The following is a 25,568-nucleotide window of genomic DNA, read 5'->3' as shown; positions in this document are numbered from 1 at the left end:
GACTTACTGTGGGTGCTTTTTGCTTAAAAATATCAGTGCCTCCAAAATGTGCAGCATAGAGATGCTTTAAAAATAAACGTGGTTTGCAAGCTTGGCAGTTCTGCTAGGCTGTTTTTAGCAGAGAGCAGAGATGGACAGCAGAGGGGAGAAAGGCCAAAAGGATTTGTGAAGCGTTGGGATTTCTCACCTCCTTCATAAATCCCCCCTTTCTGACATTCATAAAGGCTGTCATTCATAGGAAAAATAAATATGTAGGAAAAGCACAACTTTATCTCACACTATAGTTTAATTGAGTTTCTGCTGTTTATAAATAATATGCCACAAATGAGGTTTCCTTCAAAGAGCCCAAGTAGCATCAGAATACTGATATCCAAAGACTGGTTTAACACTTGAATAACAAATACCAATGAAAGCAAATCCGGGCCTCTTAGGGCAGAGATTCAGGGTATTGCCTTGATCCAACTGTGGACTTCTTGGATTTATTTCTACCTTATTCAAGTTAGAGTATCATCTTTCATGCTCCTGCAGTCTAATGTAAGGCTTAGAGTACTCTTGGAACCAAGTAGAGACACAGGCAAGGCGATTTTGGTTTGCTTTTTATGGAAGACGCTAACCTGCTTCAGCTCATAACCAAGGCGATGCTTAGGATGCAATATATTCAGTGTGTATAGACTGTCCTGATTTGCAAGTGTGGCCAGATTCTCTCAGCCCATTGCTATGAATCTGGCTCTGGATTACAGTGTTAATTCTGTTGTCAAGTCTTTGTATTCTTTATATATTTTCTGGGTAGATACACGTGTCCAAAGTATCTATATCTGTATCTCCCTTTTCAGACAAATCAAAATTATTTGGCCCTATGCATGGCCATTTCTTTGCTCAATCAATTGAAATACAATCAGCTTGAGGTTATTTGGATTTCTGGAAATTAGCCATGTTGTGGCTGGTTTCAAATATTTCTGTTGTGTTGCACATACTTTTTATTCAGCAGGTATATTTGACAATTATATTTAAACCCTCTATCACTTTAATGTCTGTATTGGGCAAGTTACTTAACTGCAAGTTCCCTCAGTTTCCTCCTCTGTAAAATGGGGATAGCAATAGCTCTGAGCTCAAAGTGGAGTAAGGATTAAATGTGTTTATTAATATATGCAGGTCCTTGGAAGAGCTTCCAGCAGATGTAAGCACCATAGAAACCTGGTTGTGGCTCCCATTATTATTGTCACGCCTGTTATTTTCTTCTGATGGCATTAAGTCAGCCTCCAAAATCAAAGTACAGCCATGTGGCAAGTCAAAAAGAAGCCAGAAACATGTAAATGGCAGAGGAAAGTCATTTGGTGATTAGAAATGTCCCCTGAAAAATTCACTGGCAGATAAATAAGAATATGCACACATTTAAATAAGAACTGAGGCTGCCTTTTGATACAGAGTAATGATGGAGTTCAGTGGAAAGATGGTGGACTCCCAAGTCGACAGAGCTAGGCTTGGGCTCATATTCTGCCACTTACTAGCTGTTGGCCTTGGGCAAGTAATGAAACCTCTTTGTACCTCTCCTAAACTATGGGACAAATGGTGATAATAATATCCTACTTGCAGATTTGTTTAAATGGTTAGAAATAACTTGCCAAAAGTACTCTGCTCATAGTGGGCACTACATAAATGGTAGTTATTATTATTTTTTAAAAAGCCTATTGAAAATTTTCAACAACTCATGTCCTGATTAAAATTATTTGAGGCGCATGCTGCTGGAGGTTTGTTAATATGTCAGCAGACCAGTATCTTCTTTGAAAACGGTATGTTCCTGATGGTTTTCTTTATATATAATTTATTATAAACATAACTACACTTGACCCTTGAGAACATGGGTTTAAACCACGTGAGTCCACTTGTACTCAGATTCTTTCTGCCTTGGCCACCCTGAGACAGGAAGACCAACCCCTCCTCTTCCTCTTCTTCCTCAGCCTACTCAGTGTGAAGATGACAAGGATGAAGAGCTTTATGATGATCCACATCCACTTGATGAATAGGAAATACATTTTCTCTTCCCTGTCATTTATTTATTTATTTATTTATTTTTAAGACAGAGTCTTGCACTGTCGCCCAGGCTGGAGTGCAGTGGCGCAATCTCGGCTCACTGCAACCTCCACCTCCCGGGTTCAAGTGATTCTCCCTGCCTCAGCCTCCCAAGTAGCTGGGATTACAGGCACCTGCCAACAAGCCTGGCTAATTTTTTTTTTGTATTTTTAGTAGAGACAGGGTTTCACTGTGCTGGCCAGGCTGGTCTCGAACTCCTGACCTTGTGATACGCCCGCCTCCCAAAGTGCTAGGATTCCCTGTAATTTTTAAAAGAACATTTTCTTTTCTCTATCTTACTTTATTATAAGAATACAATACATAATACAAAGAACATAAAAAGTATGTGTTAATTAACTGTTTATTATTGGTAAGGCTTCCAGTCAACAGTAGTAAGCTATTAGTAGTTAGGTTTTTGAGAGTCAAAAGCTATACACAGATTTTTTGACTACACAGGGGGTTAGCACCCCTAACCCCCAAGTTGTTTGGGATCAACTGTAATCAAGTAAACAATTTTTAAATGATTTAGGATGAACAAGCCATATTTTAAAAGTAAGATGAGACCATTTAAGATTAATTGGAGGTATGCATCTATCATCCTATGGATCTTACCACTTTATATTAAAGAGTATTATGCATTGCCATTATTCAAGAGAATGGGGCTAGAAATGTGAAAAAAAGGACTTACCTAAAAATCGGTGTAAGGTCACCATATCTAACTTGAAATGGTGAATGAGTCCATGGGTATTGAAGAGGTGGCACAACAGTGTTACCAGGCTGTTTCCTGCAGGAAAACAGTCACTTCCTTTAACTAATTTTGATCACCACTAAAATATCAAGATTGACAATAAGACCTAAAGTCTCTGTAATAAAGTTTCTGTGATAGAATATTTTTTCCCCTTTAGAAGTGAAATTATTCAAGGATAGAGCATATTATTACTATGATCTGATCCTAGGTTTTTTCTTATTGTACAAGTAAAATTAGCTCAGACCTTCTCCCTTCACCAAAGACAATGAAGACATTAAGAGTTAGAAAGAATCTGCCTACTGAGGTGTCAGGGATACATACACATACACACACACACACATGTGTATATGTGTATTTTTTTAAAGACAGAGCTTATGGCCACTTGAAATGTTCCTTAAGTCACTTCCAATTGACTATTCCATTTACAGGTGTATCTAAACCACCATATTGCTTGATAGTCACAGCCTATTCTTCTTCCTATGGAAAATCACTCAAGAGGAGATCTGACTATGAGCTATTTTAGAATTCAAGTCAGCAGAGATGCAAAATTGAAGCTGTAATGACTTGTAAGCATTCAAGAAATACTGTTTATTTAGGAATAATGATTTTGAATTTTAAAAGCACAGACAATGAGGCCAATGGAACAGAATAGAGAACCCAGAAATAAATTCATGCTTCTGCAGCCAACTAATGTTTGACAAAGGCACCAAAAACACATTGGGGAAAGGATAGTCTCTTCAATAAATGGTGCTGGGAAAGTGGGATATCCACATGCAGAAGAATTAAATTAGACCCTCATCTCTCACCATATACAAAAATCAACACTAAATGAATTTAAGACTTACACATGAGACCTGAAACTATGAAACTACTGGAAGAAAACATACAGGAAATGAAATCAGTTAGGTGGAAATACAATTTATTTCCCCCTGTCGATTTTGCGGCTACTTATAAATCAATTTCAGCATTTCTTAGATATGTGTGGTATATACTTCATATACTTGTGAGGCTCTTTGACTTCTCCTTTGAACTAGTTGTAGCATCTTACTGGATCTCTAATTAATTGAGTTAAAGAAAATCTCTGTCATGTGGTCATTTCATATGTCTATGAGGGTCATGATTATATTCTCTTTTAAACAAATACCATTGAACAAGTTCTTTTGTTCACAGGTAACTTAGTTTACCAGTACCCGTTTCTCAGTTGATTTGAACAAAATGACATGCAAAATTATGGGATTCTTCTCTCCATGATCTAGTTTTCTTTCCACACTGTAAAGGTCCATTTCGTGGTCTTAGGCTATATTTCTCTCAACTGCATATTGTTTGCCAAGTAATAGAATGATGAGAAAACCATATATAATGACTTAAAAGAGACCTATCAACATCAGCATTAAATGTGATGTCTTTCATTGGCTCTCAAAGCTCATCAGCATTTGTTTAATGGCCAGATAAAAATATAATAGGTTTTTTATTATTTTCTTAAGGAAGGTCTTTATAGGCACAAAAACTTAAGAAGTGACACCAGTGAAGATGTTTGCTTTTCCCTTTGGCTGCAGCCTAAGCTTTTATATTCTTTCCTCGGCAATTGTTTTCTTCTGATGATGTCAAACACATTTGAGCAATACCCGCAACAGGGCAGATTTAGCTCACTTAATAAAACTGCATAAGCACCCTGCCCTGTAAAAGTCAGGGCTGATCAGATGTGCTTTTGTTTCTAGTTTTCATCAACTAACAATGAACTCCTTACTTCTGGATGTGGCCAAAATATTCTGCAAGAAAAGAATCTAATCTGTGGTTTCTAAATTCCTCTGGGATGATCAAGGTCACAAGGAAACTGTCCTAAGATTCTAAGGTCAAATTCAGTCCTTATTTTTCATCTGAGTTGATTTTCCCTTACCCCGGTCCTTCTTCAGTAGCTGTAGGTTTATGAAAATGGGGAAAGAAGGAAAAAGGAATAGCAGTGTTTAAAAATAAATTTTGTTTTTCATGAAATTAATCCCACTTTATGGTGTATATTTTAGTGAGAATTCTTTTGGGTAACTTACCATTTGTCAAGCGATCAAACAAGAAAATGTCAAAATCCCACATTCCCACTTTGGAGAGCATATGCTGAAAAGGCAAACAAAAAACAGCACGCAAATGAATCACACTGGAGACTCAAACATTTACTTTGGGATATAGTGGATTAAACAATTAAAAAGTTGAAAATCCTAGCATACTACCATCTAGTGCAAATGAATGGTTTCCCTATGTCCTACAATAAAATCCAAATGCCTCAGCGTGACACAAAAAGACCGTCACAACACGTCAGAAAAATGAAGGGATATTAGGTTATTTTTGAGGTTTAGATTGCGTGAGACTTTTACCTAACTCACACAATATTAAAGACAGCCCTAGGACTTGGCCTGTGATAGCTGGACTTCCAGCCCTCTGTCCTTTCCACATCTCACACCACCTTTCTTGAGAGGTGGCTGCTTAGAGGAGAGACACCGCCAAGAGTGCTCTGTCAGTGACATTCCAGGGCTGGGGAAGTTAAGGCTTGTTCTCCTCTCAACAAACAAGCAAACATTCAAAAATTTCCCAATCTCAGACCTTAAGCTGTTAGGAATGATTTTTTTATCCTTTTGGAGGCCTAATATTGGGAATTAGCTCTTTTGACATTACTTGCTGTTCATTTTCTAACGGCATATATTAGTTGCCTGCCTGCCTGCCTGCCTGCCTGCCTTCCTTCCTTCCCTCCCTCCCTCCCACCCTCCTCTCTCCCTTTCCTTTCCTTCTTTTTCCTTTCCTTCTTTCTTTCCTTTCCTTCTTTCTTTTCTTTTCTTTCCTTCTTTCTTTTTGAGACCTGGTCTCACTCTGTACCCCAGGCTGGAGTACAGTAGCATCATCATACCTCACTGCAGCCTCAACCTCCTGAGCTTAAGCAATCCTGCTGCCTCAGCCTCTCAAAGTACTGGGATTTACAGGCATGAGGCACTGTGCTTTGCCAGTGGTATATATTTCATAATAGTATATAAATAGTATAATATCACTTAGCATGCAAGCTGTAAAATCTATCTTCGACTTCTGTTTAAACTGGGGCATTTATTGCTGAAATTTAAATTCCTTTGGCAGTTTGGGGTAGACATAACCTGAACACTTTTTTCAGATGGTCACACATTAATTTCCACCCTCAGTCAGATCAATGTATTACTAAAGTAATTGTAGAGTTATTAAAATTTATTCAAATGAATTAAAAATTATGAAAAGGAAAATGCAGTGCATCAATAGCCTAAAGTAGAATTAAGAGTTGATAGTGATTGGGTTATTTTTAGTGTAGCTGTTACGATGAGCTAATTTAATAAATTAAAAAAATTAGTTATTCCCTCATTAGTAATCTGCCAGTCCAAAATTTTGCTTTACTTAGTATCGTGCAAATATGTTTTGTACCTTTATAAAAATGAAAATGGCTAGTATGTGTTAGGCATGGGTATATTCAGCACATAAACATGGTTTACTTCGTGCACCTCATAAGGGGGATGTTTCTGTTAATTTCATTTTCTATTAGAGGAACAAGTCCAGATGTATGGAATAATGAGCTCAGGGTCACAGAGCTCCTCAGAGGCAGAGTAGGACTCCAACACCAGTGCTATCAGCTGAGGCACATGCTCTTGGCCACTGGCCTGCTGTGAGGAGATGGGGCAGTCAGCTTACCCTTGCTTGTCCAAGGTAGTCTTCATCCAGCAGGTGCAGAGGGGCTTGTGGTATAATTCCACGAAGCAGCCTTGATGCATGGAAGTATCTTTGAAAGCTTAATAGTCTTTTCACCTTTTTCTTGGTGCCAATCTCCCCTGAGTATGTTGTACCTGTGGAAAGTCATCAAGTCAAGAAATTTATATATTTAAAAGAGAGCCAATTTTCTCCACTCTGTAAAAATAAATGCATTAAAAGAAGAGAAATTTAAAAGATGCTTTCTATACTTTTAAAAATATGGTCTATTGAACTCTACATTTGAAATGTTTCATGAACATACCTGATATTTGTTTTTTTTTTAATTTTTACTTATTTATTTTTTGAGACTGGGTCTCACACTGTCATCCAGTCTGGAGTGCAGTGGTGCAATCTTGGCTCACTTCAACCTCTGCCTCCTGGGCTCAAGCGATCCTCCCGCCTCACCCTCCTGAGTAGATGCTACTACAGGCATGTGCCACCATGCCTAGCTAATATTTATATTTTTTGTGGAGACAAGTTTTTGCCATGTTGCCCAGGCTCGTCTTGAGCCTCCCAAAGTGCTGGGATTATAGGAGAGAGCCACTGCACCCGGCCTAACTAGTATTTCTTATATATTACATTTACTAAAATGTCAAGGTGTTTCAGAATGTAATTTTGGAAGGCCATGAAATATATGAATTAAGAATTTCATTTTCTTGTTAATGATGCTGGTATGCTAAGTGAAATTCACACACTTCTGCCTGCATTTGAAATGAGCAGTTATTCTTTTTCTACTACAGCAGAATTGAGACTCAAACATTTAGGCCAAGTTCTCATCCCACACTGTTACTTGTATGATGAATTTTTCCACCTGAATTAGGAGGGTTGTAAATACACCAGTTTACACATGAGGAAATGGTTTCTAATATTCCAGGAACATAATTGGCAAAGGAATCAATAATCTTGCACAAAAAGTGACCTGGATGCCCCTGAGAAGAAGCAGAGAGTGTTTACTTTCTAATGGTGTATTCTCTCTTACTGGTTGCCATAAAAATCTAATCTTGCCAGTAGAGATATTTTAATACTCATTTCACATGTGCCTTTCAAAACTTGAGTGTTGACATCACAGTGATTGTCCAGAAATACCCCAAACACATTATTTGAATGTCTGTCAAGATATTTCTTATCTCAGCTGAAATTATATGAATCACTCTAAGGCCACATTAGTGACGTCTGCTGCCAATTTTGAATGTAGAGTCAGTTTAACAGTCTAGTAGGAAATGTACGGCTCATATGTAAAGTAATTTGGGCTTCTGTCCTACCTTCTCCCATCTCCCCCTTTCCTCTGTGGAACTCAAAAATCACAACAGATGGCAGAGGCAGAGGAAACAATGGGTGCTCCCTGATGGCAGTGAGTGACCAAAATCAGTTTGTTATTTAGGCTGCATTATGCTTGCAAAGGCATAATTCAAGGGCAGGCTATAGGTGGACCAGGTCTGGAGTGGTTCAGTTTTACACATGTTGTATTTAGACATCTATCAGAGATTCAGGTGAAGGTGCTAAGTAGAAATAAATGGATATAAAATCCAGAGCTTGAGGGAGAAGACTGGGCTTGAGATAAAAACTTGAAAGTTGTCAGATGACATTACCTAGGGAGTAAGTATAGATACAGATGAGAAAAGGATCAAAAAGTCCTGAGTTCTAGACTCTACCTTGACTTTAGATGGGTTTAGAGAAAAGTAGGGAAAATTAAAGAGGACTGGGAAGTATTCCATAAGGACAGAGGAAAGCCAAGAGAGCATCATTTCCTAGAAGCTTCATGAAGATTGTATTGCTGGGAGGAAGATGCGATCATTAAAATTAAATGCTGCTAATGGGTCAGGTACCATGAAGACTGAGAGTTGGCCATGAACTATTCACAGTACTTGAGCACATTGTATTGTGTGCCTAGAAGCAGCAACACTCTAGAAGTGCCTAGAAGTAGCAACGAGCACTTCTAGCACCCAGATTCTGGTTTTTAAATATGACTTTTTGCTAATAGGAACCAGATTTATCTTGGTGAAATGGCCAATTCTAGGGCAGGGATGGAAAATGTATCAGATGAACTGTAGCACCTTGTTATACTAGAGAATAAGGGGGAGCTCAAAAAATGATGGAATCATTTAAAAATGACAGAAGTGACAACATCAAGGGATCTCTCTGAGAAAATACGGGAAATTTGAGTCTCAAAATGAATAACGAAAGAATGGATTGTAAACCATTGGCTGAAGTAAGAACCAATGAGTTCATACAGGTGATAAGGTAAATAAGTAAATAAATAAGGAAAAGTGAAATCTCTTCCTTGTAGAATGTGCCAACTGATAAATGTAGAAGAAATAATAGAGCTGGAAAATTACCATTTTGCAGCCGATATGGTAATGACTGATTCAGGCCAGAATCATTAATGGATACTAAAATTATTAAATGAAAGTTTAAAAAGCAATGGGGTAATTACCCAATATCAAAGCATTTACCCACAGAAGACTTATTAATTGGAGAAGAAAAAAATGGGTAGTTTTTAGTGGAAAAATGTGGAGGGGGCATCATCTTCCCTAAGTAACCCTAGTTAATGCCACCAGAAACTGACATCATGCTCTTCCTAATGTAATGCACTGAGGATACAACCTCACACATATTGTGTTCCTGCCCCAAATGCACATCTGATTCTAATAAAGAGGAAACATTAGAAAAAATTGTTGAAGGACACTTCACAAAACAATCAGCCTGTGCTCTCTTAAAAAATGTCAATATCATGAAAGACAAAGACAGCCTTAGGTATTGTTTCATAATAATGAATACCAGAGACAGTGCACTAAATGCAATGCATGACCCTTAACTGGATTCTGTATCAGAAAAAATGTCATAAATGACATTATTAGCACAATTTTGGATATGGATTTATGCATGAGACAGTATTTATAAATATTTTAATACTCATTTCACATGTGCCTTTCAAAACTTGAATGTTGACATCACAGTGATTGTCCAGAAATACCCCAAACACATTATTTGAATGTCTGATAATTGAAGTGTGGTTACAAAAGAATGCCTTCATTCTTAGAAAATACATGCTGAAATATTTAGTGATAAAGTAGCATATGTACAATAAAGTGTTAAGCAAAAATGTGTGCAGTAAGGCAAAGATTGCAAAATATAACAAATGGTGCATATAGAGAAAGAGTATATGAGTATTCTTGCAGATTTTTGATAAATTGAAGTTATTTTATGATAAAAAATTTAAGAAGAGAAAAAATGTGAAGAAGAAGTTTGAAACAATATCAAGTGTAGACCACTCTTTTAAGGAGTTTTGCTACATAGGAAAGTAAAGAAATGTAGTGATAGCTCTATATAGAATGAAATCAATTATTCAATAAATAAATTATTCCTATGTTACGTATAAGGAAAATCTAAAAGAAAATATAGATGATCTTTTCCTTTTTTTCATATTCTTTAAAATTCCCCCATCTCAAAATACTAAAAGAAAATGTCTTATGTAGCTGAGAGTATACCTATATTTATATAATAAACTCAGAAGCAAGTAAAATAGCCCTGAATGATGGAAATATGCCACAAATGTAGCAAATTGAAATGATGGATTACTTCTTAAACTTCCCTTTAGTTTTCCAAGTAGTGTAGTACTTTAGGAAGATTCATAGTTAAGATAATGACATTGAAATTAAGTGACATATCCTAAGTGTAGATGATAGGAAATAATGGTTACTATTCACTAACTTTGACTAAAATATTACTAAACTAATGATGCCATGAGCTGGAGATATTAAGTTTAGATCTGTTTTTATCTTTACAACAAAGAAGAAAACAGCATGATTCCTTACCTATTTTTCTTCACCTAGAGTCAAATGAATAATAGTAACATTAGTTCAGCAACATGACAGAATGCAGACCTCTTTGGATCTTTATTTAAATTTTTGATATATTGTTTCTCATGACTTTTTTTGGTTTTAATTTTGATTTTTAAAAATATTACATTAAGATATGATACACTGTGATCACCAAGTTATTTGGTATTCCCCTAAATTTTAAGTAAGGCTAGTGCCTCATTCCCCTGACTCTAGCCTGTCTTGCATTTTTTTTTTAAATAAAAAAAATATAATAGACATGGGGGTATCACTGTGTTGCCAGGGCTGATGATCCTGGGCTTAAGTGATCCTCCTGCCTAGGCCTACCATAAATACTGGGATTATAAGTGTGAGCTACCATATTGGGCCAGTCTTTGAAACATAAACTCAGATGGTGTTTAAAAAACCCCAGTAATTAAATACTTTACAGACAAGCAAATGCTGAGAGATTTTGTCACCACCAGGCCTGCCCTAAAAGAGCTCCTGAAGGAAGCACTAAACATGGAAAGGAACAACCAGTACCAGCCACTGCAAAAACATGCCAAATTGTAAAGATCATTGAGGGTAGGAAGAAACTGCATCAACTAACGGGCAAAATAACCAGCTAACATCATAATGACAGGATCAAATTCACACATAACAATATTAACCTTAAATGTAAATAGGCTAAATGCTCCAATTAAAAGACACAGACTGGCAAATTGGATAAAGAGTCAAGACCTATCAGTGTGCTGTATTCAGGAAACCCATTCATGTGCAGAGACACACATAGGCTCAAAATAAAGGGATGGAGGAAGATCTACCAAGAAAATGGAAAACAAAAAAAGGCAGGGGTTGCAATCCTAGTCTCTGATAAAAAAGACTTTAAACCAGCAAAGATCAAAAGAGACAAAGAAAGCCATTACATAATGGTAAAGGGATCAATTCAACAAGAAGAGCTAACTATCCTAAATATATATGCACCCAATACAGGAGCACCCAGATTCATAAAGCAAGTCCTTAGTGACCTACAAAGAGACTTAGGCTCCCACACAATAATAATGGGAGACTTTAACACCCCACTGTCAACATTAGATCAGCGAGACAGAAAGTTAACAAGGATATCCAGGAACTGAACTCAGCTCTGCACCAAGAGGACCTAATAGACATCTACAGAACTCTCCACCCCAAATCAACAGAATATACATTCTTCTCAGCACCACACCACACCTATTCCAAAATTCACCACATACTTGGAAGTAAAGCACTCCTCAGCAAATGTAAAAGAACAGAAATTATAACAAACTGTCTCTCAGACCACAGTGCAATCAAACTAGAACTCAGGATTAAGAAACTCACTCCAAACTGCTCAACTACATGGAAACTGAACAACCTGCTCCTGAATGACTACTGGGTACATAACGAAATGAAGGCAGAAATAAAGATGTTCTTTGAAACCAGTGAGAACAAAGACACAACATACCAGAATCTCTGGGACACAGTCAAAGCAGTGTGTAGAGGGAAATTTATAGCACTAAATGCCCACAAGAGAAAGCAGGAAAGATCTAAAACTGATACCCTAACATCACAATTAAAAGAACTAGAGAAGCAAGAGCAAACACACGCAAAAGCTAGCAGAAGGCAAGAAATAACTAAGATCAGAGCAGAACTGAAGGAAACAGATACAAAAAACCCTTCAAAAAATCAATGAATCCAGAAGCTGGTTTTTTGAAAAGATCAACAAAATTGATAGACTGCTCGCAAGACGAATAAGAGAGAAGAATCAAATAGACGCAATCAAAAAATGATAAAGGGGATATCAGCACCGATCCCACAGAAATACAAACTACCATCAGAGAATACTAAACACCTGTACGCAAATAAACTAGAAAATCTAGAAGAAATGGATAAATTCCTCGACACATACACCCTCTCAAGACTAAACCAGGAAGAAGTTGAATCTCTGAATAGACCAATAACAGGATCTGAAATTGAGGCAATAATTAATAGCTTACAAACCAAAAAAAGTCCAGGACCAGATGGATTCACAGCCAAATTCTACCACAGGTACAAGGAGGAGCTGGTACCATTCCTTCTGAAACTATTCCAATCAATAGAAAAAGAGGGAATCCTCCCTAACTCATTTTATGAGGCCAGCATCATCCTGATACCAAAGCCTGGCAGAGACACAACAAAAAAGGAGAATTTTAGACCAATATTCCTGATGAACATCAATGCAAGTATCCTCAATAAAATACTGGCAAACCCAATCCAGCAGCACATCAAAAAGCTTATCCACCATGATCAAGTGGGCTTCATCCCTGGGATGCAAGGCTGGTTCAACATACGCAAATCAATAAAGGTAATCCAGCATATAAACAGAACCAAAGACAAAAACTACATGATTATCTCAATAGACGCAGAAAAGGCCTTTGACAAAATTCAACAACCCTTCATGCTAAAAACTCTCAATAAATTAGGTACTGATGGGACGTATCTCAAAATAATAAGAGCTATCTATGACAAACCCACAGCTAATATCATACTGAATGGGCAAAAACTGGAAGCATTCCCTTTGAAAACTGGCACAATACAGGGATGCCCTCTCTCACCACTCCTATTCAACATAGTGTTGGAAGTTCTGGCCAGGACAATCAGGCAGGAGAAGGAAATAAAGGGTATTCAATCAGGAAAAGAGGAAGTCAAATTGTCCCTGTTTGCAGACGACATGATTGTATATCTAGAAAACCCCATTGTCTCAGCCCAAAGTCTCCTTAAGCTGATAGGCAACTTCAGCAAAGTCTCAGGATACAAAATCAATGAGCAAAAATCACAAGCATTCTTATACACCAATAACAGACAAACAGCCAAATCATGAGTGAACTCCCATTCACAATTGCTTCAAAGAGAACAAAATACCTAGGAATCCAACTTACAAGGGATGTGAAGGACCTCTTCAAGGAGAACTACAAACCACTGCTCAATGAAATAAAAGAGGATACAAACAATGGAAGAACATTCCATGCTCAAGGGTAGGAGGAATCAATATCGTGAAAATGGCCATACTGCCAAGGTAATTTATAGATTCAATGCCATTGCCATCAAGCTACCAATGACTTTCTTCATAGAATTGGAAAAAACTACTTTAAAGTTCATATGGAACCAAAAAAGAGCCTGCATTACCAAGTCAATCCTAAGCCAAAAGAACAAAGCTGGAGGCATCATGCTACCTGACTTCAAACTATACTGCAAGGCTACAGTAACCAAAACAGCATGGTACTGGTACCAAAACAGAGATACAGACCAATGGAACAGAACAGAGCCCTCAGAAATAATGCTGCGTATCTACAACTCTCTGGTCTTTGACAAACCTGACAAAAACAAGAAATGGGGAAACGATTCCCTATTTAATAAATGCTACTGGGAAAACTGGCTAGCCATATGTAGAAAGCTGAAACTGGATCCCTTCCTTACACCTTATACAAAAATCAATTCAAGATGGATTAAAGACTTAAATGTTAGACCTAAAACCATAAAAACCCTAGAAGAAAACCTAGGCATTACCATTCAGGACATAGGCATGGGCAAGAACTTCATGTCTAAAACACCAAAAGCAATGGCAACAAAAGCCAAAATTGACCAATGGGATCTAATTAAACTAAAGAGCTTCTGCACAACAAAAGAAACTACCATCAGAGTGAACAGGCAACCTACAGAATGGGAGAAAATTTTTGCAATCTACTCATCTGACAAAGGGCTAATATCCAGAATCTACAATGAACTCCAACAAATTTACAAGAAAAAAACAAACAACCCCATCAACAAGTGGGCGAAGGATATGAACAGACACTTCTCAAAAGAAGACATTTATGCAGCCAAAAGACACGTGAAAAAATGCTCGTCATCACTGGCCATCAGAGAAATGCAAATCAAAACCACAATGAGATACCATCTCACACCAGTTAGAATGGCGATAGTTAAAAAGTCAGGAAACAACAGGTACTGGAGAGGATGTGGAGAAATAGGAACACTTTTACACTGTTGGTGGGACTGTAAACTAGTTCAACCATTGTGGAAGTCAGTGTGGCGATTCCTCAAGGATCTAGAACTAGAAATACCATTTGACCCAGCCATCCCATTACCGGGTATATACCCAAAGGATTATAAATCATGCTGCTCTAAAGACACATGCACACGTATGTTTACTGAGGCACTATTCACAATAGCAAAGACTTGGAACCAACCCAAATGTCCAACAATGATAGACTGGATTAAGAAAATGTGGCACATATACACCACGGAATACTATGCAGCCATAAAAAGTGATGAGTTCATGTCCTTTGTAGGGACATGGATGAAGCTGGAAACCATCATTCTCAGCAAACTATTGCAAGGACAAAAGACCAAACACTGCATGTTCTCACTCATAGGTGGGAATTGAACAATGAGAACACATGGACACAGGAGGGCGAACATCACACACTGGGGCCTGTTGTGGCGTCGGGGGAAGGGGGAGGGATAGCATTAGGAGATATGCCTAATGTTAAATGATGAGTTAATGGGTGCAGCACACCAACATGGCACATGTATACATATGTAACAAACCTGCACATCGTGCACATGTACCCTAAAACTTAAAGTATAATAAAAAACAACAAAAAAATCCAGTAATTAAATAAAGCTAGCCAACAAATCTTTTCATAGTTAATTTTCTATGATGCCTTGTAGGTTAAAACATGTAGCATATAATGTCTTTCCCCCTAAAAATGTTCAAAGTTTTTGAATGAATTGGTCATCATGATGTGTATTCTTTATTTGTGTACTTTCAAACCTGCCCTCTCAGATGGGCAAGTAGATATCTGACAAGTTGCAGTGTTAACTGGTGGCCAATATTTTCTAAAATAGCAAGGCAGGCCATGACTACTCCGTTTAACTTCTATCTGGGTTATCCTTTAATTAACAAGCAAATGATTCAGAACCAATGCTACATAGCCATTTGCGAAAACAATAGCACTTAACTTTCTTATTTGAGGACATACATAAAGCTAACCAGAAAAAAAATCCTCAAGGTAGCTTTCTAAAGGGGAAGAACGTGCAACAATCCAAGAAAAAATAAGTTTATTTAAACTAACATTAATAACTTATCGAGTGTTATTTAGGGAGCAATTTGTGTTTTGTGAGATAAAGAAAAACGAAGATATAAGAAGCTGAAGATGGGAGGAAAAAAATTCATATAACAATCTGAATAAAGCACCCTCTGTATAATAGTACAAGGTCCTGGTTTTTGAAGTATTTAAATGTGTTAATCAATTATTGATAAAGATCTGATATATTTGTTTCCAAAAGGACTCCCAGTGCATAGCTACCATATTTACTTTGATAATGTATTGATATGTATTTCTGGGTAGAAACGTAAATGATTAGCTAAGCTAAATCTTACAGATAGCTCGCTAAATTCCTCTTGTAAAAATCTGGGGAATGTTAACAGTGTGCCTGGTAATAAAATGCTAGGTTTATTTAAGACCCTTATACAATTTTACAAATCATTACTTAAAGGCATTTACAGTTATCCTAATGCACCTTTGTTTGGATTTTATTGTTTTATGGTTTCCAAATTCTCATTTGGAATAGTTATAAAAAGGTGTTCCAGAATGTTTCATTGCCTAATCCATGTGAGCATTGACCCGAACTGTGAAATTCATTTTCTTTTCACTTTTCTTTTGTAAATATCACAGATATCTACATATTAACACATTTTTGCACTACTTTGGTGCTAATTTTAGGAATACAAAGTTTGTATTGGCACTGCTGGTACAGTAATTGTTAAATTTTACAAGTTGGGGTTGGCTTAAATGCAAAAATATGTTAATAAAAATTATTTTCATTTTTGAGTACCTTCTTTATGGAATAGTCTCTGTATAGGGGCTGATTAATTTTGGTACCAGGAGAAACCTTAAATCTAGAATAAATATCTGAGATTTAAGAAAGCTGTAAATATATCCATATTATAAGGCTGTTTCTGTCAACTGTATATCTGGTTCCCTGAAATAGGTCTATGTCAACTGTTTCCAGAAGTCGAGTAGTGACTAACTGGTGCAGAAGTAGCTAGGGTGATACTGAGAACAAAGAAAGCCTTTGTGTTTAAGTGAGCAGAGCTGACTGTTAAGCACCCGTGGAGATCCAACTACATAAACCTAATATTAGCACTTTCGAGCATCAGTCCAACTGAACCTCTTAATAATGTGTTATTAAGCCCTACTTTGATAATTATTGAGCTAGTAATTCTAATAAAATTTCTTGCTTGGTTAGTGGCTATTCATAGGCTTTGTTTATCTTCCTTTTATAGGAATTTTTTTTTTAAGTGACAGTCTTGCTATGCTGCCCAGGCTGGAGTGTGGTGGCTGTTCACAGGTGTGCAATCATAGTGTACTACAACCTCAAACTCCTGCCCTAAAAACAGTCCTCCTGCCTCAGCCTCCAGGGTAGCTGGGATTATACATATGTACCACTACACCCAACTGTTACAGGATTTTTCATATGTCTTGTACTACAGTTATTGGTGAACAACTATTACACCCCAAAGTCAGAAACCATTTAATCAGCCTTTCTGACCCCTGGTATCTAGTGTATAATAATCTTACATGTAATGGAAACAGTAAAAAATTTGTTGATTAAATTGGAATAAATTCTCTTCATTTACAGAAATATCACTGTTAAATGCTCTTTTTGAACAATAAGCCAATTTGTTAAGTGGAGATGCTAAAACTTATACATACACATTGTAATCATTTTCTGAGTCAACCTCAAAATGGAGTTCCAGGGTCCAGGCCCTCTTGCCACTGCCACTGTCCTTTGCTTTTTTTTTTTTTCATTATTTATTTTATTTTCACTTCTTATAATTGTTTTATTTTTAATTTTTGTGGGTACATAGTAGGTATATACATATTTATGGGGTACATGAGGTGTTTTGATAACGGGCATGCAATGTGTAATATGACATCATGGAAAATGGGGTATCCATACCTTCAACCATTCATCCTTTCTGTTACAAAGAATCCAGTTATACTCTTTTAGTTATTTTTTCAATGTACAATTATTATTGACCCTAGTCACCCTCTTTGTCCTTTGCTTGTTTTGACTTTTGCTGTAACACTCAGTTGTGCCTCGTGTGGTTGCAAAGTTCACTCTTATTCACATATCTGACTTTCTTATTATGCTGTAAGGTTTTGGAGACCAGATTTCTGTTAAATTTTCTTTGAATTTCCACAAAGTCCTGCAGGTTGTAGGTGTGAAATACATGTTGATGGAATTAAATTACTTTCCTGATGTGTGTGCTCTCATCTAAGTTCAAGAATGCGGAACTCTGGAGAAAGCAGGGTGAAATTCTAGTTTTCAATATGCAGCTTTAAAAAACAGGAGAAACTGTTAATTAGTTTGACAGTGTCCTGAAGCAGAAGTAGCAGATTTACAGCACAGCTCTTTCACTCTTTCACACATTCTACTAGTTCAGGGTTCAGGATCCCTGTAAAATTAAAAGGTTAGTGTTGTCTAGGATGACAGTTTTCTTGAAAGCATACATGAGGATTTTAAGATTGAAGTAACCTAGCCTAAGATGCAGTTGCCCTGTAAAAATAATTTTTATATAGACTACTTTAAGAAATTAAAAAAATTTAAAGAGGTTGTGTGTAGAAAACAATATTGAGTCATTTCCAGAACTTACAGTACGGACTTTGACGAGGTGCTAAGGATGTCATTCTCTGGATGAGACCAGTGCTCCCTTCAATGTATTAAACACTTCGATTCACTTTCACGTGCTTTTAGCAAATTTAATAACTTAGACTTGGTTGTAATGACTTCAGTATTCAAATCATCCCTTTCACAGTTTAGCATCTCTAGACATTAAAGTTTCATTTATTCATAAAATAGCTGCCAGAAAACCTTTTAAAATAAAATACTATGACTCCCCCAGTCTTTCAGAAATCACCAGTGGTCATAAGAGGCCATATTTGTTTATTTCTTACTGTGTCTATTCTCAGTGGTCAGAAAATGATGGGTAGAAACTGATGACAACCAAATATATTATTTGGCCCTTAACATCATCAAGTGTGGAGATTTCCTCACATGGGTGGACATATTTTTAAGACAAAGTCATTATAAATGACTTTGAAATTCTGAGCAATTTAAGATAAAAACAAATTTCTTAACATTTAGGGCATTTGCTAGGCTTAGTTTTTAATAGAAAAGAAGATGAGTTGTAACTATTAGAAAACAAAAACACATACAACAAAACATCTACAACAATAATAAAACCACCAAAAAGAGGAAAAAAGTAAGAAAGGGAGAAAAAACCTAAACCAAAATAAAGCAAACCATCATCTTAAAATTTAATTTGAAGTTGGAAAATCTGTTTGAGCTTAAAGGAACTCAAAAGTTATTTTAAGTTCTCCAAACTCAGGTCTTGAATAGAATGTATTAAAGCCTTATGTCATTAGCTCTTCTGTGTACAAAAAATACTCACGACTTCTTGATGGCTGTCACTAGAAGAAGAGCTTTGTTTCAACATTGCCACCAAGTGGGAGGAGCAGGGGGAGGAATAGGAAAGTCTTCTTTAAGGCAGAGTGAAATTGTTTCTCTCACTCTCCTTTTTAACATGCTTATTTTTTTTTTCAATTGCCATTTTTCCTTTATGTTCTTGACAGTGAAGGGAAAACCAACATGGCTGATTTGAGTCATGGAATAGAATGAGCTCCTTCCTAGCTGACTGTCTGCACCCCTGCTGCATCGCTTGTAGGTGTTCAAGAGGAGCAAATGCTTGTCTCCTTAACCATGCAACACACGGATTTTTGGCAAAATCTGCTGGTTTTAGTCAATTTTTTTTTTTTTTTTTTTTTTTGCCTACCATAAACTCCATCCCAACGAATGGGTTGAATCTCTGACATCCGGGGTTCAGGGTTGGTTGGAAAACTATTGTTTCCTTTTTGTAAGGAGGGGAAAAAAGGCTTTAAAAGTAAGCTCTTAAGCTTCTCTGGGCAATCGAAACGTTTTTCAAAATCCCAGTTTGAATGAAATTTAAATGAATTAGTAAGAAGCAGATCAAGTTTCCTCAGTCCTAAAGAAGAAATACATGCCAGGCGCAATGTGGTTTTATTGAACCCTCCGCTTCTCAGAGTTTGAAATGTTACAGCAAATCCAGAGTTTTGAGGGCAACGGTTTGTGGTGAGCAAATTGAAGTGACCAAACTTTGAGTTGATTCTAAGTCTCCAGAGGTTAAAAACTGCTGCATTAACTCTGTAGTTCTCAGCATACATTTAAAGCAAGTGTGGTCTTTTATCTGGGAGATATGTTTGGACTGTCAAATTTGACTGCAAAAGTTCCAGATGTGTGCCATAACGTACTACAACTGCTTCTCTCCTTTCAGTGTCTCTGCTAGTTTACTCCCTGTCCCAGGATATTGGATTAACCCCTCTGAGGGCCTTTAGTCATCCCTTTCAATCTATCTCACCTACCACCAACGGATTCGTTCCTCAGGCACAACTCCTACCATGTCAGCCCCCTGCTCCAAGTCCTTCAATGGCCCCCACAATGTCTCCTTAATTTATATTATTTATTCTGACATTCGTGGCCCTCCACAATATGAGGCCAACTTACTTTTCCATTTTTATCTCCCAAAAGTACCCTGCAGATAAACAGATCTCTGCTTTTGCTGTTTTTATGCCACATCCCCCAGAGTTTTCTGTTTCTATCTGGATTCCCACATTCCTTCTCAATTGAATATTCTCCCCACCTGTTGAAATGCCATCTGTCCTTCGGCAGCCCACCTCAAGTATTTCCTCCTGGGCTCCTGGTCAGAGGCATTCAGCTCTCCTCCTAGTATTGCAGTAACTTAGCTCACTTGCTATGTGGCAGATGCTGCACGCTGCTGTAAACCCTGTTAGGCTAGGACCATGTCTTACCTATTATTATTATGGTGCCTAGCTTACCGAAAAGGTGTTTACTGAAAGAAGGAATGAAGGAATGAGATGACTATTTATTGAAGTGTAAGCTGTTCTTCTGTCTATTGTAGTACATTATCTGGCTCATGATAGGTGCTACCATGTAATTGTTGAATTGAAGTAATTGTCCAGAACAAGCAAGATTCACTCATCTAACACATCAGATAACAGGGATGATCCCCTGTGTAGAAGAACTTGAACCTCTATTTCTTTTCTGAATTTGTTGGATTTTCCTAAATGATTATAAGTGCATCTTTAGAATGATGGTAGATTAGTACTAACTTTACTCATTGGTAGAGGCCTAGATAGAAACTTTGATCTCTAAAAACTTCCAGAAAGAAAACCTTTATGCTTTTTTTTTTTGGCAGCCCCTTCTTGTTTTATTATTATTAATATTATTATTATTATACTTTAAGTTTTAGGGTACATGTGCACAATGTGCAGGTTAGTTACATATGTATACATGTGCCATGCTGCTTTATGCTTTATGCTTTAGAAAGGGAAAGCACTGGAAGCTAATTCCTTTTTCTTTATAGGTTACAAAGGCTGCTTGAATTATATTTCACTGGAGTGGATTCTGTGATTTAATTATGTGTTTTTTATATGTGGTTGGAATATAACTCTTTAAGTGTAAATATCCTTAGTTCCTCAGAGAACTTGAGAAATTTACCTGTGCATTGAGATTTCTCTCTTAGTGCCCACGGCGCTCTATGGATTGTAGTGGCACCTTAGGACTAATCATGTCTGTATTCTTGGTGCAGGACACTCTTAAGGAAGCAGGTTTCATTAAGACATTAACAGGGCATGGAAAGCTATATATTTTCACATTGAACTAGTTCAGAGAGAAGAAAGAATTGTTTTAGATGACTACTGCAGTGTCCACCTGCATGTCTGAATGGATCCCAAAGACATATCTCATGTATTTCATCTAGAACAAACACACTGGGTCTCCTATTCCATGTATTCAATCCATACGAGGCTAGGGTTTGCAGCTGGGGTGATGGAATCAAAATATTGAGCACCTACTAGGTAATTTACATTTGTGATCCAATTGATTTTCATAAAAGTAGGTATTGTGAAGTTGATATTAAAATAGGTACATCTTACAGATGAAGAAATGAGTTTGGAAAGGTTTAATAATTTACCCAAAGTCATGCAATGGATAAGTAACAGAGCAGGGATGGAACCTGGGTCTTTCTGACCTTGAAGATGATGCTCTGCTCATTATATCCTGCTCTTTACAGGAAAGGGCAAAGAGTGGAGACATAAGGCAGTCTAGCAGAGGACCCTATTTTCTCTGGGGTATAGGGATCCAAAATGATGTATCAGCACCCAAAGGATTTAAAGTTTTGGTACTTTAAAAAAAAGGTATAGTAAAGTAGCCAAACTCATAGATGCAGAAAGTAGAATGGTGGTTGCTAGGGGCTGGGGGAAGTGGAAATGGGAAATCACTGTTCAAGGGGTATGGAGTTTCAGTCATGCAAGATGAAAAAATTGTAGAGGTCGGCTGTACAACATTGTACTTACAGTTAACAAGACTGTACTATATACTTAAAAATTTGCTAAGATGGTAGATCTCATATTATGAGTTATTTACCACATAAAAAGTATAGTAAAACAAAACCAATAAGAGGACATTTCTTATTCATTCTTTCTAACCGTGTAATTCATAAATACGAGTGTTTAAAAATCAATAAAGTTGTAAAGGCTGAAAATTAAACTTGGTATCAGTGAACAAGAGAGTGAGAAATACTGTAATGCTAATAGTGAAAGACAACTTGTAAAATAACTAGAAAACACCTAGAGAAATAACTTCATAGCAAAGGTTGGAAGCGATTCTATGTATGTGTGACTTTCCTATTTCTCTCACTAAATGTACAAATGAAGTATTAAGGAATAAATAATCACTTGTGGGTTTTAAAATTGAAAACACATGTCTCACTTGACACTGACTTAATGTGATTTGATTATTATGTTATTATACAAAGAAATTCACAGACATTGGTTAGTGCCCCCAGCTTTGGAAAAGACAAATATTTTTGTTGTGTACATAGAGTGGAGCAGCAGCTTGTGGGGAAGGGAAAGAGTGGGAGTTACTTGGGCAAACAGGCGGCTCAAAAAAAAAAAAAAAAAAAAAAAAACCTGCCAGGATGCACAGGGATGCATACAGGCCTTGTGTTTAACCCTTTGGAGCCAAGCCTTATAGTCTCCTGAAATTTTACCTGAAGGGACATCTGTTGATAGAGTCATGGTGTCAGGGCATAATCCAAAACCTTTCCTTGCTGCTTAACATGGCCCATGGGCATTGTTTTCTTCTTACCTTCCCTCTAGAAAACACATATGTCTTTTATGTGTTTTCTAAATATCTCTACCTACATTGATAATTTTGCATAATGTTTTAATTAGGAATGGCTATAATATATAATATTTTTTGGTAGTTGTCAAATGAACTGGAAGCAGGTGAGGAATGAATTGGCTATTTGTTTTTTGTAGTCTGATGAACACTGGGAAGCCTCCACCAATAAATATCCATTGAACACCTGCTCTGTGCAAGGCATTGTGGTACCTGAATATACAGAATGGATATGGTTTGGCTGTGTCCTCACCCAAATCTCATCTTGAATTGTAGCTCCCATAATTCCCACATGTTGTGGGAGGGACCCGGTGGGAGATAATTGAATCATGGGGTGGTTTTCCCCATACTGTTCTCATGGTAATAAATAAGTCTCATGAGATCTGATGGTCTGATAAGGGGGAACCCCTTTCACTTGGCTCTCACTTCTCTTTTGCCACTGCCATGTAAGACATGCCTTTCATCTCCCACCATGATTGTGAGGTCTCCCCAGCCATGTAGAACTGAGTCCATTAAACCTCTTTTTCTTTATAAATTACCCAGTCTCGGGTATGTCTTTATCAGTAGCATGAAAACGGACTCATACAAGAAGATTTAAGTGAGTGTTTCTGTCCTCAACTACCCAGAGGAAGGTGATGGGATTGGCTCTTTATCCCCTTCACTACTTATGTTTCCACTTCAGCTGTGGCAGGTAAGGAAGGTTTTAGTATAAAAGTGCCTAGAAATTAAAATACTGTATAAAGCAAAAAATATGAGCAAGAAAAAGAAAGATCATTTGTCTAGCGGGTGCTCTGCTCTCAAGAAAGTGATGCTCTACTTTGCCGCTCACACTTGATGGAGTCAGAAGCCTTTCTTTCCACATGGCATAGAGGCAAGATGGCACCTGGTATATATGTAGGGGGTGTGGTCAGGTAGAGAGGTGAGGAGACAGAGCAGTAGAAAAGGAATGAGGAAGGGAGATCAAGAGAGAAGAGACATTCAAGCACCCATCGGAGGAGGTTTCTGTACCAGTGAAAGGTAGTCTGAGAGGAAATGTAAGAAGTTTTTGGCGCCACCCTCTGAATCCCATATGGGCTTGAGAGTTGCGCTCTATGAGACTGTATCCTTTCTGGTAATGGACTGGGTCCTGCACACCCTTCCAGATGAGGTAAAGCATCATGGCAGGGATGGAGTGGTCGGTCAGAAAAATGTTTTTATTCTTACGACTATGGAAACTATAGAGCTCTGAGAACAAGCTTACATACACCTATATTGGAAAAAATATGAATATACACATACCGTGCTAAAGCCACAGAGAAACCCACTCAGGTGGGACCTGTGGAGATGCAACTGGCAGGGGATGAAAGTGAGGGGGCATAGAAATGCACAAAAAAGGATGTGCACTGTTGGCACTGAGGTTTCTCTTGCCTTCTCTCATCCTAGGTTAACACTGGATTGCTCAGAATGAAGAGTTTAATTGCTGTGTCTGAAGGAGGGGACAGAGAGAAGCAGAAGGTGGAGACCTAGCATTTTAGAATAAATTTAGCTGAGTACTTTTAGAATGGCCAAAGAGAAGAACTATCCTCGATTGTCTCAACAGCTCACCCTTCCCTTCCTTTCCTTCCCCTTCTCCAAACATTAACTGAGGGTTTACTTTGGCTCAGACACTGGGCTGGGTGCTGATGATGCAAAGATGAGGAAGTTACAGCTTCTGCTCCTGGAGAGTTTCCTGTCAAGAGCGGGAGCTCACTCCTGTCCTTCCATAGCAGCAAGAGCCAAAAACAGTGGCCTTCGGGTGGGGAGTGGGGAGGGGTGTGGTTGGAGGAAATCTCTGCCCTCTCCTGGGACTTCCAGCTGCCCTTCTAGTGGGCAAGTAGTGTGGCTGGATAACTAAGCAGTGCCCTCATGGGGTTGGGACCTCCAGGAGCAGCTATGGTGCCATGACAGTATTCTCCATTCTCTCTGGTATATGTCTCATCTCCACATAGATGAGACTTAGCACCATCCTATTGCTGTACACGGAGTCTCTGCTACAGGTGCTGACAAGCTAGGCAGAGCCTGCAGACTGTGATGAAATGGAATAAGAAACTATTTCTGAGAAAAGGATACTTGGCCTAGAATGAGGTTCAAGGATTGGTTCTTCCACTTATCAGTCTTTTAGGTAAAAGATTGAAATGAATCTACATGGTATATGCCCAATACAGATTGGTAGAGTGTGTAAGGACAGCTCCAGTCAGAATGCAAATATCACTCAGAAAGAGTTAATGAATCAATGAATGCCTTAGCTTGAATTAGTTTGCAATTAGGTAGGCAATGCTGGATGGATAAGTTCTGATGGAAGGGGGCAGAAGGAACAGTCTAAAGCTTGGGGTTCTATCTCAGAAGGGAAGTCATGGGGTGGTGGCTTTGGGGGGAGCAGAAAGGTGGGACAAAGGGACAGAGAGAGGAGAAAGAAGGTGATTGGGTGGAAAGTCTTCCTAGTCTTTTCCCCATGGTGGCTAGTGTTTTGTGCTGGGCTCCAAAGCAACCCCACCCTAATTATATTCAGCAAAGCAGTTCTTCAGCCATATATGCGTTATCATATTTACTTGTCTTTCTCACCCACTAAACTGTTAGTTCCTTGAGGGCAGGGCCTATGCCTTATTTACCTATAATCCCTAGTGCTTAGCTCAATGGTGTGAGTAAGGAAGGGGTAAAAGTCAAAGGAAAACTTAATCCACTTGGTAATTTTGCCCAGGGGTGGGGGGGTCCCAGTTCTCACAACAAAATAACCAGAGCTAATAATACCTATCATTATTCCAGGTTTATAAGCAGAGAAAGAGAGTACCAAAAGATTAAGACACTCAGTAAAACACGTG

The 25,568-nt window shown here is 37.8% G+C and overlaps 1 protein-coding gene across 1 annotated transcript in view; it reads right to left on the bottom strand.

The window, feature by feature from the left end:
- PDE7B (phosphodiesterase 7B) overlaps positions 1–25,568 on the bottom strand; it is a 343,874-nt gene that overhangs the window by 41,561 nt on the left and 276,745 nt on the right. Inside the window, exons 4-6 of the mRNA NM_018945.4 lie at positions 6,512–6,663; positions 4,864–4,927; positions 2,759–2,854 (exon numbers count right to left, since the gene is read on the bottom strand). Of these exons, the coding sequence (NP_061818.1) occupies positions 2,759–2,854; positions 4,864–4,927; positions 6,512–6,663 (312 nt within the window). The remainder of the gene's footprint in view (positions 1–2,758; positions 2,855–4,863; positions 4,928–6,511; positions 6,664–25,568) is intronic.

This window comes from Homo sapiens, chromosome 6, assembly GCF_000001405.40.
Source record: "Homo sapiens chromosome 6, GRCh38.p14 Primary Assembly".
Lineage (NCBI taxonomy): Eukaryota > Metazoa > Chordata > Mammalia > Primates > Hominidae > Homo > Homo sapiens.
This window is presented reverse-complemented; position numbering and strand designations above follow the sequence as displayed.